General features: G+C 47.0%; 2 long non-coding RNA genes across 3 annotated transcripts, besides 1 other annotated feature; one reads left to right on the forward strand and one right to left on the reverse strand.

Annotated features, from left to right (window-relative positions):
* Positions 1–333: 333 nt before the first annotated feature.
* On the reverse strand, positions 334–2,042 carry LINC01874 (long intergenic non-protein coding RNA 1874). 2 transcript variants are annotated; one of them, NR_146437.1, is made up of 2 exons: positions 1,908–2,042; positions 334–705 (listed from the first exon to the last, which is right to left on the reverse strand). It is a non-coding gene; the product is annotated as a long intergenic non-protein coding RNA 1874 (long non-coding RNA). The 2 variants fall into 2 exon arrangements; NR_146436.1 differs by having other exon boundaries at positions 334–728.
* Positions 4,449–5,648: an enhancer, noted in NCBI's record as "MED14-independent group 3 enhancer chr2:495062-496261 (GRCh37/hg19 assembly coordinates)". NCBI's record gives its function as "activates an origin of replication core promoter dependent on BRD2, BRD4, P300/CBP and CDK7 cofactors, and independent of MED14, by STARR-seq in HCT116 cells {active_cell/tissue: HCT116}" and the evidence as "EXISTENCE:reporter gene assay evidence [ECO:0000049][PMID:35650434]".
* On the forward strand, positions 5,200–6,023 carry LOC100996637 (uncharacterized). The gene is made up of 2 exons (NR_168371.1): positions 5,200–5,325; positions 5,572–6,023. It is a non-coding gene; the product is annotated as an uncharacterized LOC100996637 (long non-coding RNA).
* The last annotated feature ends 10,264 nt before the right edge of the window (positions 6,024–16,287 follow it).

A 16,287-nucleotide genomic window follows, 5' to 3' on the forward strand; every position in this document is an offset into this window, starting at 1 on the left:
AGAGAGGAAGGCCAGAGTCACATGGCTTTCATTACAGCACATTGTCACGATAATTCTATTTTACTATTGGTTATTGTTATTAAGCTCTTACGGTGCCAGATTTGGAAATTAAACTTTATCATATGTAAGAATGCATACGAAACACACGGTATATGTAGGATCTGGTATTATCCATAGTTTCAGGCATCCACCGGGGGTCTTGGAACATACCCCCCGTGAATAAGGGGATATGCTGTATTAAGAATTTTATTTACTTTGCTAGAAAAGATACAAAAATAAATACCTCTTAATAGTCAGGTAATATTTCAATAGATGACATTGGGATTCACATTATTCCACAGCTAGTGCAATTTATTTTTCTTAGTATTGTGCAGGAGTTAATATGGCCAGAAGGAACCAGCATTCCTTTATTCACCCAATCACTCATGAAACATTACTGGGTATTTAGCAGATATTCAATCAATATTTGTTGGATGCATATCAATCTGCTAAGTGCCTGAAGTTGTGCAGACTGAGATGTAAAAGAGCTTGTCACACCTGTGCACAGCGCAGTCGGAGGAGAGTCAGAATGTCTCTAGGATGAAGGAATGAGCAGTGGGGAGCGTGGCTGGTCCCCAGCAGCCCAGACTTGGGGTCCTTGTGGCAGCATGAGATGATGTCATTGCTGGATGGATCCCCCGAGGAAAGAATGAGCAGGTCTTGATTCTACGAATGTGAAGCAGCAACAACTGCATGTTTATTCCAAATAAATAACATATATTATACATAGGCCAGTATCGCATTCCATTATTGATATTTATAGCTGCATTCACATTTATATTCATGTCTGTGTATGTATCCATCCACCCATCCATTCAGTCATCCATCTGTAATATGCCTACTGTTATCTATTTATCTTTCATCTATCTATCATCTATCAATCATCTATCAATCTTTCTGTATTATCTATCATCTACTTGTCTATTTATCTATCCATCTATCTATCTTATCATCTATCTAAAATATCCATCTAAAATATCTATCTATCTATCTCTCTATCATGTATCTATAGAGAGAGAGGCCGTGGGATCTGAGTTAATTCCCTGATTCTGCAGATGTGGATCCCGTCTACCTGATCCCCTCCACTCGTGGCTCCTTATTGGGTTCTGACTTCTGCCCTTCCCCTTCTGAAATATATTTTCTATGTGTGCAGGATATTTTATGTCTAAAATGCTAATTTGAACAAGTAACTAATTTCCTTAAAACCAGTTTACTCTTTTCACATAGTAAAGTCTAATCAAGTCCTGTTTAATTATTCTTTATATTTTACCTTATAATATTTTATAGATCTTTAATCCAGTCTAAATTTCTTATTATCTCCCAGACATTCCTTGGGTTTTTCCCTTTCCACCTTTGCTCATACCATTTGTCTCACTGAAATGACACTTCCGATATCTTTATGCCTGCCTCTGTTTTTAACCTCATTAAGCCCATTTTTTACCTGGTTTCTGATTTCCTAACTCTAGATTTTGTGCTGCATCTGTGAATGATTTTGATGTCTCTTGTAGCTCTCTGGGTTTCAGTCATCAGCCCTGCTCCGAGGACTCTCATGTCCTCATTCTGGCTTGGGCATCTCCCTGAGGCTCCCATATGAGTGACCAGTTTCCAGCGGACGTCCCACAGGGCACCTCTTGGTGCTCCCGCACGGTGCGGTCGAGGCTTCTCAGCACCTGCATCCCTGCTCCCCATCACACCCTGGACCTTCTGCGGTGCAGTCATCACAGCCTCCTGCCTCACTTCCTGAGCCTCAGGGACGCCCGCTCCTTGCTGCCTCCACCCTCTCCCAGGCTCAAGCTGATATCATCTCCTGCTACACAGCAGCCTCTGTCTGCACTCTAGGCTTTCAGGTTTGTTCTGATAAAACTCACCCTCTGCTCGGCGGCCAGACGCTTCACCTGGAACACAAGCAGGACCACGTAAGTTGTTGCTGGACACAGCTAAACAGGCTCCCTTCACCTGCCAACAAGCTGCAGTTCCTCTGCCTAGCAGCACGAACTTTCCTGACATACCCCATGCTCCTCTGTCCAGCCCCACAAATGGCCGTCCATGCCTTGAACTTTATGTTCTGTGAACTTCAGACGACCTAGAATGCCCCGACTTGGCATTTCTCACCCCAAGCCGCTGAGCTGGCATCTGTGTGGAATGACTTCTTTCTCCGTTTACACACGTGGGTAATGCCTGATTGCTTTAAGGCTTGTCCCCAGAAGGGCTCACCTTGTATCCTGCTACCAAGTTGCACTGGACCCACGTTCTAACATTTTGGAAATCTCTTTCTACATATTTCACTCTATTAAAATTATCTGCAAGTGTGTTTGTCTTCTCAACTAGATTGAATCCCCTGTGTCCCAGGATAGTCATTTAATATTTTCCATCCCCATCACAGAGCACCCTAAATAAACATTTGCTGATTGGAAAAGTCAAGTGGAAAGAGTATCTAACTCATGGAAGTTTTAGGTGGATACAATGAGGTAATGGCCACACATGAGTTTAAAACTTAAAATGCTTTAAGCCGTGTAAAGTGTCAGTGATGGTGCTGACGTCAGTGGTGATGATGACAATGATGAATGCGCAAATACGCAGTGACTGCTGCACAGAGCGGGACTCAGGAGGGAGGCCTGAGCTAAAAATTTAATAATATTATTCATCCCAAGATGAGTCATCCAGGGGCAATTATAGAGGTTGAAGCAAAGAACATGATAGATTGATCCTTTCTGAAGAGGGGCATTTAAAGTCTAGGCAAAGAGAAGCCATTACAGGGTTAGAGAAGGAACTGCTGAAGTAAGGCTCAGACCCAGAGGCAATGACATCATCATGTCAGGATAGAGCTCAGACCCAGAGGCAATGACATCATCACGTCAGGACGGAGCTCAGACCCAGAGGCAATGTCATCATCACATCAGGATAAGAGTTCAGGAAAGACAAGGGGCAGTGGTAGGAAAGGCCCCAGAGAGCCTGGGTCACCAATGGGAGGCCACGTAGCTTGGGCTCAGCACGGAAGGCACCATTGCTTACCAGAGTGACCCAAGGACATTCTTTTTTTTTTTTTTTTTAACTGTTATTTTCAGTTCAGGGATAGGGTTTGTTACATAAATAAACATGTATCATGGAGGTTTGTTGTACTGGTTATTTCATCACCCAGGTATTGAGCCTATTACCCATTAATTATTTTTCCTGATCCTCTCCCTCCTCCCACCCTCCAACCTCCAATAGGCTCCAGTGTGTGTTGTTCCCCTCTATGTGTCCGTGTGTTTTCATCACTTAGCTCTCACTTATAAGTGAGAACATGCAGTGTTTGGTTTTCTGTTCCTGCATTAGTTTGCTGAGGATAATAGCCTCCAGCTCCATCTATGTCCCTGCAAAGGACATGATCTCATTCTCTTTTTATGGCTGTAGAGTATTCCATGGTGCATATGTACCACATTTTCTTTACCCAGTCTACCATTGATGGGCATTTAGGTTAATTGCATGTCTTTGCTATTGTGAATAGTGCTGCAATGAACGTACTCATGTGTATGTCTTTACAATAGAATGATTAATATTTCTTTGGATATATATCCAGTAATGGGATTGCTGGGTTGAATGGTAGTTCTGTGTTTAGGTCTTTGAGGAATCGCCACACTCCAATCAAAACACTTCCAATCAAAACCATAATGAGATACCATCTATCACCAATCACAATGGCTATTATTAAAAAGTCAAAAACTAACAGATGGTGGCGAGGTTGTGGAGAAAAAGGAATGCTCATACACTGTTGGCATGAGGAGATTCTTTGACTACACTTACAATAATGGGAAATTAATGAGATACTGTATCCTCTGAGGGCAGGAATACTACCTGCCTTATATTTCCTTCCCCCAGCACAGCATGTGCCTCGCAGGGGTGCTCTGATTTACATTCTTTTAAATGACAACAAAGTTTCATGGCATGCCTGGTGGCCTCCCGGGTAACGTGGCCAAGACAAGCTTCTCTATGCCTGAATTTCATCCTGGGGTGATATGGTTTCATCTCTGGAACATTAAGTTGGTAAAACTTTTATGTTTCTTGAGTCAGTCAGTTGCTTTATAAAGAATCAATAAATGTTAAAGTAGCTGTGATGATAATTGATCCCTGGCAGCAGCGTGTCCTGAATTAACCAGGGAGCCGCTGTGTGTGCTGGACGGGGGTGCACCGGCCTTCCGGCCTCCTCCGTCCCTGCTCCCCCTTTCTCTTCTCCTCGCCTCTTCCTCCACCTCTCCCTCTTTCTCAGAGAAGGAGGGCTTTTCTCTTCATGGGAATTAAAATGCTGATATCTCACACTGGGCCTCAAGAAACCCTAGAGCAATGATTGCATTTCAGATAAATACAATGTGGAACATTTAAAAACTGGTTAAACACGTGGTACGTGAAAGTTCTCACGCGGAAAAAGCAAAGGGTGAGAATGTTAACCAGGAAGATTGTGAGGATTATTATACCATCCCACACGGACACAGGAACTATTCTACCATCCCACACGGACACAGGAACTATTACACCATCCCATACAGACACAGGAACTATTCCACCGTCCCACGCGGACACAGGAACTATTCCACCGTCCCACGCGGACACAGGAACTATGGCACCGTCCCACGCGGACACAGGAACTATGGCACCGTCCCACGCGGACACAGGAACTATGGCACCGTCCCACGCGGACACAGGAACTATGGCACCGTCCCACGCGGACACAGGAACTATGGCACCGTCCCACGCGGACACAGGAACTATGGCACCGTCCCACGCGGACACAGGAACTATGGCACCGTCCCACGCGGACACAGGAACTATGGCACCGTCCCACGCGGACACAGGAACTATGGCACCGTCCCACGCGGACACAGGAACTATGGCACCGTCCCACGCGGACACAGGAACTATGGCACCGTCCCACGCGGACACAGGAACTATGGCACCGTCCCACGCGGACACAGGAACTATGGCACCGTCCCACGCGGACACAGGAACTATGGCACCGTCCCACGCGGACACAGGAACTATGGCACCGTCCCACGCGGACACAGGAACTATGGCACCGTCCCACGCGGACACAGGAACTATGGCACCGTCCCACGCGGACACAGGAACTATGGCACCGTCCCACGCGGACACAGGAACTATGGCACCGTCCCACGCGGACACAGGAACTATTGCACCGTCCCACACGGACACAGGAACTGAAAGGCTGGAGCTGGGGGTCCGTGAAAAGTGATGGCAGAGGTGGCAGGAGGTGGCGGCAGCCACCGGGATCCCCAGGCTGGAGGGCAGAAGGTGGGGAAGCAAGACAGAGGCCCCTGGCGATGCCCGGCCCCAGAGGCCACTCCACATGGAGTCCTGGGCCTCCTATCCCTGGTCCCTTCCCCCATGTCTCGGCTACCATGACCTTGCCACCCTCCCCACCCGGTTGAACGCCTCTCAGCACTGCTTTCCTTCCTGCGCCCTCAGCCCCTCGCACATCCGGATGGCTAATCCTCCTCCTGAGGAAATTCACTCTCTCTATTTTGCGACTGTTCCCAGTCACCTGAGCATCCTGAGCATCGATGGTGAGAAGCTACAGGAGGCCGAGCGGCTGTTGACGCCCAGGACCGTGGGCAGCACCTTGCAGGGGGAAACCGGCTTCCTCCGGTCTCCCAGAAGAAGAGTTCAGGCCTTCTCTCCTCTCTCCAGGCCTCCAGCTCTTCCCCATCCCCGCTCTCAGCGGAGGACTGGCTTCTGTTTTCACTGAAGAAATCACAGCCTCCTGAGAGGACTTCCCCAGACGCAGCCCTCCCCTGTACCCGCTCCTCCTCCACATCCCCACCTTCCATGCCCAGGGCAGCAAACCACCCCCCATCTGCTTGGGGATGTCAACAGGCTCCCTGTTTCCTGAATCTTCAGTTTCTCCTTCCTGCTTGATTCCCATCCACAAACTTACCATTATGTTTCTTGTCTTTAAAAGAAAAATAAAATTTTTGCTTTTTATCCAACCACTCCCCGTTTTCCTGCTGCTTATGGCAAAAGCTGCACCAAGGAAAAAATGCTGCCCCTATTCTCTCTCCTGCCCTTCGCAGGAGCCTTTGACCCCAGAGCTCCCCTGAAACTGCTCTTGTCAGTTTCATGAAGAGCCGCATGATGCCAAATCCCACAGGAAACTTCGGTGTTTATCTGACGGGTGGACGCCCTGCCCTGGAAACGGTCCTGCCTGCCCCGATTCATGCATCTCCTGCCCCGCGTCTCGTCGTGGTCCTGGCCTCCCGGGGTAGCGTTTGAGGCCCGGCGCTCAGACCCACGCTTCCCCTCTTCTCCTGCCCAGCGTCTGGCCTCACCCGAGCTCTGCTGATCCCAGAAGGACGTCTTCAGTCCTGACCCCTCGTGCTGGCTCCGAACTCGCGTTTCTGACTCCCAGCAGCACTGGCAGCCCCTTGACCTTGTGCCTTGAGATCACGTCCCAGCCTGTCTGTCCTCATAGCCCCTCCATCCCGCAGCCTCTCAGAAGCCGCCCTCCCCACTGTGCCCTTTCTTGGTTTATATTCCTGCTTGTGCGTGCGTGTCGCTAATGCACCTACATTTTTGTATCGGTCAAATTCTTTGTGTCTCTTTTGGTTGGTGCCAGTTCAGTCAGGGGAGACAGGTTCCTCCGTTTGGTTCACGTCAGTGTGTCAAGTTCTTAGAATTAGAAGTGAACTGTGTGGATGAGCGTGGCCTTGCCAAGAGTGAGAGCATGGAGAGATGCCGAGGGCCGGACTCAGGACACGGGGCCAGGGAGGGGGCGCAGGACTAAAGGATTTTACAAAACAGAGGTTTCGTCTTTGCCACCTCTTAAAGAATTCCGTAAGTTGACTTTCTGATTTTTAATAGCGAGAAGAGCACCCACCTTTTTTTTGCAGAGGTGATGGAGTATAGTTTTAATGAGAGGTGAAATCACACAGGAGCCCCCGGTTTCTGGCTGTGGCTTGCACCACCTGCTTCCTGTTTCAATGAACGTTGATGAAAGTGGAGTTTTGTCAATTTTTAAAAAACCACTGCCTGCCTTCATCAGGTTTGATATTTTCAAAGTGTGGCTGCCTCTTCTCGCGCCCCCCGCTTCCCCTGATGGACGTCCATCCTCCTGCTCCGCGTGGCTCAGGGTCCTGCTTCACACCTACACTGGCATCCCATAAGCACAAGGTTCCAAACGTGAGTCATCAGCATTTGCATGAGGAAACAAGGTAAGCAAAGATTTGGCAAGAAGAATTCGAACTCAAAGCCATAATATTATTCATGAATTATGAGCAACAAGATTAGATCTGGAGCTTGTTTCAGTGAGGATTTGAGAGGAGAGGGATCAGGAGACTGACTTGGCCCGTCAGCCCCGCTGCTGTGATCTGTGGAGAAACAGGATTCCATTGAGCTTCATTCTATGGGCACACAGCTGCTTTCAAAAATTCTTTCTAATGATGAGCTTGCTAAGAAAAATGCTCATCTTTTTCTGTAATAAGGCTGGACATTTTCCTTAGAGAGGCTTTCATCTGTTTTTTTTTTTTCCTTGTAAATGGGAAAATTGCCAAACATCTGGGTACCAAATGCCCACAGTCTCTGAGGTCCATCCATGGGGCAGCCGCTCTGTGAAATGAAAATGTTGCTTCTTGACTTGACGAAGGCTCATGTGCAAACCCCTGGCTCAATGGTGCCTATGGCCACAATCCCCCAATTAACCATCAGATCTGCTTGCAGAGGGCTGCCCCACGTCCAGAAAGGCTGCAGTAACTCGGGGAGTGTGGCTGGATGTGATACCTACTTGGGGGCTCACAGCAGCTCGCATGTGTTTTTTTAAGTAGTTCCATGAGGCAAACTCTCCAACTAATGAGGCCTGTGTTGGAAGACTTGGGTCCTGAAATTGCTCAACCTGACAACTGCATAATAAGAAAGATGTTCCCAGGTCAGTTCACCTAGCAGTTCTGTCATCTGATCACAATTTCAGCTGCTGCTGCTCCGTCGGCCTGGGGCTCACGAGAAGGAAGACCTGGAAACCATGCCAGGGCAACAGGAAGGGGTGTCAGGCTGAGCTTGTTCCCTCAGCAAATCCTTTCTAAAAGCCAGGTGTGTTCACACAAGGTGTAGGGACAAATTCCTATAGGTCAAATTAAGCCAGAGATAATCCTGCTAGGTCTTCAATTTCTGCTAATTGGCTAATCATCAAGTTATTTTGCCTGGGGAAGAAGAGAGAAATGGCCTGGTGTTGACTGACGGCATTAAAGTGCATGGGCATGTGTGTGCCTGCATGTGTGTGTGTGATGCACACTTGTGTACGTGCATGCACGTGTGCCTGTGTGTGAACATGTGTGGGTGCGTGCATGCATGTACATGTTGGCATTTGTGTGTGTGAGCATGTGTGGGTGCATGCATGTGTGTACATGTCTGCATGTGTGTGTGTGAGCATGCGTGGGTGCATGCATGTGTGTACATGTCTGCATTTGTGTGTGTGAGCATCTGTGGGTGCGTGCATGAGTGTACATGTCTGCATTTGTGTGTGTGAGCATGTGTGGGTGCGTGCAGGTGTGCCGTATGTGTCCATACGCTCCTTATGAAAGCCTTGTGGAATTAACATCATGGAAAAAAACTAAACAGAGACTCCTAAAGTTTACGTAACTTGCCATGTTCCAGAGTCAGCATTTAATCCTATACGTGTACACTTTATACACGAAATAAAAATCAATCCATCTGCACATGAGTTATGACCAAGTGTAGACTTATTCTGCACCAATGGGAGGAGACTCAGGAGGGGATCTCCACTGCCAGCAGATGGGAGGTTGTAGGGGAAGGACTGGACCCTGCAGAGGATTTGGGTAGACAGAGGAGAGAGCAAGCAAAGCCAGGTGGGAGTCCACGCTTGACCTTTGCTTAAAGATATCCTTTACTCTCTCTGCACCTGATTTAACTCATCTGAAAGATAAAAATAAAAATAAATACCCTTGCTTAAGGTTGTCATCAGGATTAAAGAAGAGAGTGTGAGACTTGCATGGCTCATACTAGGCATTAAGAATAGTAGTTATTATTACCTGGGCATTCTACAGCTGAACATGTCGTAATGAAACAACCAAAAACTCAGCTTTCCTGCCCTATACTGTTCCCTTGCATTGTTTCCTCTGGCACAACTGCCCTTACCTGGCTCTTCTACACCTGCTTAGATGCCTCAGCGTTTAAGCCCTGCTCAAGCACTAGAGTCGCCATGCACCATCTACTGGCTGCCTGTGCAGGACCCCCCTTGGTGCCCCACATATGTGTCCACCTCCAGCACTGGCATTTATCCCTGTGACCGACCAGGTTTCCTGTGTTACACTTATCTTTATCTCCAAATGCCTCACAGGGTCAGCACCAACGGGTTCACCTGATTGATGCTCAGGATGTTGGCGGGTTGAGTTTGCTATGTGTGTGATGTGTGGGGACTGACGCAATAACAATGGCATTTAAAGCTGTTGACAGGCAGGCGCGTTGGCTCACATCTGTAATCCCAGCACTTTGGGAGGTTGAGGCGGGCAGATCACCTAAAGTTAGGAGTTTGAGACCAGCCTGGCCAACATGATGAAACCCCATCTCCATTAAAATTACAAAAATTAGCCGGGCTTGGTGGCGGATGCCTGTAATCCCAGCTACTCGGGAGGTTGAGGCAGGAGAATTGCTTGAACCCAGGAGGCAGAGGTTGCAGTGAGCCGAGACTGCACCATTGCACTCCAGCATAGGCGACAAAAGCGAAACTCCGTCAAAAACAAACACAAAAGCCGTTCACATTGTGGGTGGATTTTAGGGCTGCTGCTGTGCCAAGGGCCATGGCTGCATCCAATCTTCGCCAAGCCTTGCTCACCCTTTCTTCTTGTCCCCTGAATCCTGTGAGCTACTCTGTCACCTTTTCATCATAGCTGGACACTTGGGGCACAGAGAGCTTAAATAATGTGCCCATGGTCACTGGCCAGAAAACAATGGACTGAATTTGGAGGCTGACCTGACCCCTGAGGGCCAGCTGCCTAGTGGAGGGGAGCGGGGCTGTGACGGGGGCTTCCTCTTCCACCCATGCCAGTCTTTGCCTAAGCCAGCAGTATCCCACTTTTATTAAGTCTGATACTTGCAATCTTGCAAAGAACATAATGGAAAACACCCTGGTCAGCCAAGAAGAATGACTCCTGTATGTGTGGCACAGTTACTGAAGCTGCCCTTCATGTTTTAGCATAATGCCAGATTCTAGAAATTCAGAGCTGGTCAAAGCAAGTTTCAAACCCTCAAGGAGTTACAATCTTATGGAAATAAAATCTATAAATAAGCGTTCGTAATATAAGATATAAAATCCTAATTTTCCTAAGAAAGTCACCCACAGATTACTTTTGTAGTCCCATTTCTAAAATACTGGTACGACAAGGTGGGATCACTTTGCTACTTTGTAGCATTTTGCTATTGAGCCGAAATAGAAATAAACTACTCTGGTCTCAGTGAAGAATGCCTCACAATTGTCCAACCTGTTTAAACCAGAGATGTATTCTTAGTGCAAAAAAAAAGTCTATTTTCTCTGGAGATGGTAGTTTTTGATTGTGGCTGGTTCTGTTCCAATAATGTCCCCTTTAGAGGTTTAAGTTCCCTCAGTTGCAAAGGACTTCAAAAGGTCATGGAGCTTTTGCTTCCCTGAAGACCTTTTTCCTTTATCCAGAGAGCTGATGCTGTGTGGCCATGGAGGGAACTACAACCGAGTCAGATGTCCGGAAGATGCGTGAAGCTCAGAGCCTGACAAGTCCCCCTTCTTAAACTCAGGCTGGAGATGGACAAAGTGCTGGGAACTGCAGCTCCTCAGATGCTTTCAAACAATCAAAGTACTTTTCCCCTTCGCTGAATTCCCACAGTATTCCCGGGGATAGAGTTGAAGTCTTATGTGTAGAAGGAACTCATTTGATTATTAATCATATTCCCAGAGTCATGGAAAAAAATTATGTTTCCAGGTTTCAACGTCTGCTGAACATACCTCCCCCAGTGCACTGGTGACTGAATTTCTGGGGTAATTCGGAGCCCTCCTCCCTGCCCTCAGAGGCTGGTGAAGACAGCGCTTTCTAACTGGACATTCACTGTCACAGCAGCATTTCAACACCACGTCCCTTCTCCACAGACGGACATAGAGGTTTGGGAATAAAATAGAGGTCTGCAGCATAGTGCCTGGCGGGAGACCAGGTGCTGAGATGCCAGATCCTCTCTGCCACCTGTGATTACAGCATCTAGGATTCAGCATGGTCCCGCGTTGTCCACGTCCACCTGGGGTCTCCTGGTGTGCACACTGCCTGCAGGCTCCCAGGCTTGGGGTCTATACTGCACCTGCCTCAGAGGCATCTCAGGGCCACCCATGGATGTTTGATAAACAGGCCTTGGAATCATAAAAGTGTTTGTGTTTCTGTTCATCTGTGTATCTGCATGTGTGTGATTAGGTATGTGTGTGTATCTGTGTGTCCCTGTGTGTCACTGTTTCAGTATGTGTGCATGTGTATCTGTGTATTGTGTGTGTGTGCATGTGCACATGTGTGTGTGCCTGTGTATTGTGTGTGTGTGCGTGTGCTGATCATCATGTTTATGGAGGAATTGGGCACGGTCCCTTTGAGAACTGGGAATCTGGTCAAGATGACGTCTCAGGTTTTCTTCTATTAATTCTGATTCAGTCTTCTGAGATTTACAGAGAAGCAAAGTACAATAGGTATGGGTGATCATAACAATCTGGTTATTCAGGCATGTGCAAAGTGTTCACCAGTGTTCTCATTTGCAAAAACACAGAACTTACTATTTTTCTTTGCTTTGGAGATATATATATACAAAATGCCATAAGGAAATTCATGTACCAAAAGCTAAAATAGTCTAAATAGCCAATTAGTTTTTAAATACATTCATTGGTCAGGCTTCTTGTTTTTCTTCTTCTTTAAAATATTCAGTTTACTATTCAACAGGAAATGAGTTGGGAAAAATAACAAAAGTTAAAACCAGCTGTTTGGATGTCTATGCTAATGTCCAGTTCAAGAAAGGGAAAATCGGCTAAGGAACAAGTTTTGTTTGTTGTTGTTTTGATGATGTCTTCTAATGATTAAACTTACAGTAGGAGGCCTTCATGGTAGGAATTGTTTTATTTATATTTTTTTCAAAAAATGTCTTTCCTGTGTTATTTACAATAGCACATGTTTTTCTGGAATAGATCTCTGGGGAGGCGAAGTTGATGGTATTTCAGCACAAAATGGCAAAAGTTTGGGGCGGTGGGCAGGAGGCCCTTGCCACTGTGGCGCCAGGAGACTGGGTAAGGCGCCCACCACAGGGCTGGGGATCTCAGGGGCGTCTGAAGAGGAAGAGCTGGCTCGGGGCGCTCGGGGTAGCACAGCCACACATCCAACCACGGCGCGAGAATCAAGGTGCCAGAATCACAGGACGCGGGAATCACGGGACGCAGGAATCACGGGACGCGGGAATCACGGGACGCGGGAATCACGGGACGCGGGAATCACGGGACGCGGGAATCACGGGACGCGGGAATCACAGGGTGCCGGAATCAAGGGACGCCAGAATCACGGGGCGCGGGAATCAAGCTTCTCCATAAATGACTGACGCAGGGGAGACATGCCAGAATTCTCTGAGTGGTGTATTTAATACAATGACAAATAATTCGTATGTGGTCTTTTCAGTAAATGTTGTCCAGTGACTACTCTCCCTCAACAATTTAGCTCATACACGGGTTGGGCTCAACACACGCAAACAGCTTTTCACCGAGCTTTGACGGAAATGAGGCTGCGCTGAGGCGGCGCTGCGGCTGTGGAGATGCCCAATTCGTGGCGCCAGCGGGGGAGGCGGCGCCAGCGGCTGCGCCACGTTTTTTCAGGAATTTGTCCTTCTTCAGAAAAGGAGAACACTGCTTCCTGCTAAGCATTTGGATTAGGAGACGCTGGCAAGATTACAGACATGTTGCGACCCCCATGCTGAACCTAGAACCTCATACTGGTTTTCAGTCAACATTGGTGAAGGACACAGTCCACTGCCTGCGGAGGCCCCGAGGAACACGCGTGTAAAAGCTGCGCCCAGACCCGCAGATCCCACAGCAGCAGCCTTTGGTCTCGCGCCAAGACCTGCCCCACCAGATCCCACCCGCCCCACCGGCCTGCCCCACCAGATCAAACCAGAGCAGCAGCCTTCCGTCCAGCGCCGAGACCTGACCCATCAGATCCCCGCCTTTGCTGGGGTACTGCGGTGGCCACAACTCGCATGGAGCGCCGCCTGGGAAAGGGAGGAGAGGACGCATGAGATCAGAAACACTGGCTGCCGTAAACACTTACAATGAAAATAACGTAACAAATAAGCGAAAGGTAAAATGTGAAAGAAATCCAACAGGTCTGCAAAAATGGCTGCCTGGCATCACTGAATCCTAAAATCTTCTTGGTGTGGAAGACTCTGTTATGATTTCACAATATGGCAGCACCAGGTCCCTGGGCGCACACCCAGCCCGATAAACACACCAGCATTTGCCACCACGAGTGACCTAACTCAGCGTGGGCCCAGGATAAGGCCAGTTCTAAATTATCACAATGCTTTTACAATTCTCTAAAACGTGTCTCTATAATTCATATGCCTTAGTCTTGCCTGTTCTTTTATATATATTACAGGTTTTTTCCTACCATCCTGCACTCACTCCAGAACACAAATTGATTAATTGGAAGAGTGATAGGTGGTAGAACTGCCTGGCACATTCCCTGTTCCCTTCTCTCCTTTCCTTCCTTCTCTCCCTTCCTCCTTCCCTCCTTCCCTCCCTTCCTCCCCTCCTCCCTTCTTCCCTTCCTCCTTTCCCCGCTTCCTTCTCTCCCTCCCTTCCTTTCTTCCTCCCTTAATTCCTTTGTTCCTTTCTTCCTCCCTTTCTGCCTTCCCTTATTTCTTTCATTGTTATCCGAACATATTTAATTGGATTTTCATAGAATTCAATGAAACATAATTGTACTATAAGAGTTTTGCTGAAATGGTCAAGCCCTATCCAGCCCTATCTAGGACAATCTGTGGTGATTAAGCCATGAAGTGAATTAATTCTTGCATTCATTGATCTATTTAACAAGCATTTGATCCTATTACTTGCTTGCCATTGTGCTGGGTGCTAGATGTGAGGCCGGGAGCCCCCGACAGATGGAACCTATCCGGAGGAGGCTGTGCTGACCGGCTCTTCTGCGAGCCTCTGGGATTGTCACCAGGGATGGGTTTATCCCTTTCTTCTTGGCTGTAAATCTTCAGTTAAATTTTCACCTCAGAACTTTCAGTGTCTCTCTTTTTCAATTCCTTCCACATTCATATGCCTCTTACGACTTTCTTAGAAGTATTCTTTTTTTTCTTCACAAATGCTATGTTTTCATCCTTTATTCCCAAAGAGACTGTCCTGTGTAGAAAAAAAAATTCACCCTGCCTTTAGGGACAAAAGAACTAGGTTTGGGTGACGCCTCCTTGTCACTGGGCACTCCTGGGAGTCGCAACTTCCGAGCCAACTTCTTCTATTAAATATCTGTGGAAGCCTCTACTTCGTAGGATTCTTATAAGGAACCACTAAAATAATGCTCAGAGCATTACTACAATCAAATTATAAGTTTTATCATTATTCTATTCATGTTAACCTGGAACTTTAATCTTTACCTGTTTCATCTTTAAATCTTTTCAAATTATTTTCAGTTCAAAATGTCACATTTTTCATGAAGTGACCTAAAAAAATCACCAAATGAAAATCATATCAACCTAATTGGAAGTGTCGTGGCACCTTGCCCCTCACTTTAGAGAGTCGATTCTTCTCCTGAGATAATCATGCTGGAGCCAGCCTGGATTCTGGTGTCAGGCGGCGGCCCTGAAACTTGCCAACGCCACTTCTCCTGGTGTAGCCTTCACAAAGGGTGCCCACCAATTGCACGGGCAGGTAAACGAAGGCCTGGAGTTTGAAATACATGTTTCCTCCTGGCCCTCCCTTCACTGTAAGGGCTTTTGTATAGCCAATTTGAGAAAAATGACGTTTTTAGGTGTAGGCAGTTTGAGATCATTTTCAAGCTTTAGCACAGCTTTATTTATGCACACTGCCTACTCCCTAATGTAGAATTATCACGTGGAATCCTTAGTGGAGTCCACCTCCCTAACGATGCTGTTTTCTATGGCATGCTAAAGATAATTAGTTGTATCTTTTCCCACAATTTCTATACAAGAAGTCATATTTAAAACTCCAAATCAACTTGAAATTAAATCTTTGTAATTCCTTATTGTGTAGAATGAAAGGTGCTCTGTGTACTTGCAAAAATAATTAAATTAGGAAAAAAAAGAATTTAGAAACAGATTCATGTCCTCACGGCGGGTGGCACTGTCAGCTGCTCCCAGGGCCAGCCCTGCCGGCATGCTCAGCTTTGACCTAAGTCTCAGCTTCCTCCGAGGGGATGGAAAGACCCCAGGGTGCACAGCGTCTCCTCCTTCCCCTAGCCTCTAGGTCAGAGCTTGACCCGTAACAGGTCTTTGTTAAACATTTGCAAAGTGAACGTTGCCTCAATCCCTCGGAACAATAACCACACCAGCAGGTCAAATCACTGCCTGGAGTGGAGGAGCTCATTTCAGAGAGAAGTTGTGTTTTGTTTTGTTTTGTTTTGTTTTGTTTTAATGGCAAAGAGATCAAAATGCCTTTTCTTGGTCATTAACTCATTTTGGTTGAGAGCATGAGAACCCACCTCAGCCCTGTGTATTCTGTCACCCTTTTGTGGACATTTTTCTTTCTTTGTTCTTGGCCTGTTTTGTTGCTGTGTGCTGGTCTCAGTGTTCTGTTTCGATTCTCACAAGCTTCATGTGATACTTCTTTAAAAATGGCAATGATAAATCAGTTGTTGAAACTCAGTTTTGCTCTAAGGAATGGCAAATTGTCCACATTCCGCATGCTGTATTTGTTGGGAAACTGGAAAATTTCCAGCGCAATTAGAATTAGGATATGCTTTAAAGGTCTTGACTCTCTCAAAAACCCTCCAATTTTCCGTCCCCTTGGAATAGCTGAGACGACCTATGGCCAGTGTCCATATGACAATGCTGACCCCAGAAAATTAGAAGAGCGGCTAGAAGGAATTCTCATGGGGCCCAGATGTAGAACCACATGGCTTTCAGAATCAAAGCCTATAAGTACAGTCTTTGCTGGAGATCTGATGATGCATGTCAGCAAAGACAGGCAGCCTGGGAGTGTTAAGAACTGAAAGCTAGGCTCTCACAAAGTGATGATGCCTA

The sequence above is a fragment of the Homo sapiens genome, chromosome 2, assembly GCF_000001405.40.
Source record: "Homo sapiens chromosome 2, GRCh38.p14 Primary Assembly".
Classification (NCBI taxonomy): domain Eukaryota; kingdom Metazoa; phylum Chordata; class Mammalia; order Primates; family Hominidae; genus Homo; species Homo sapiens.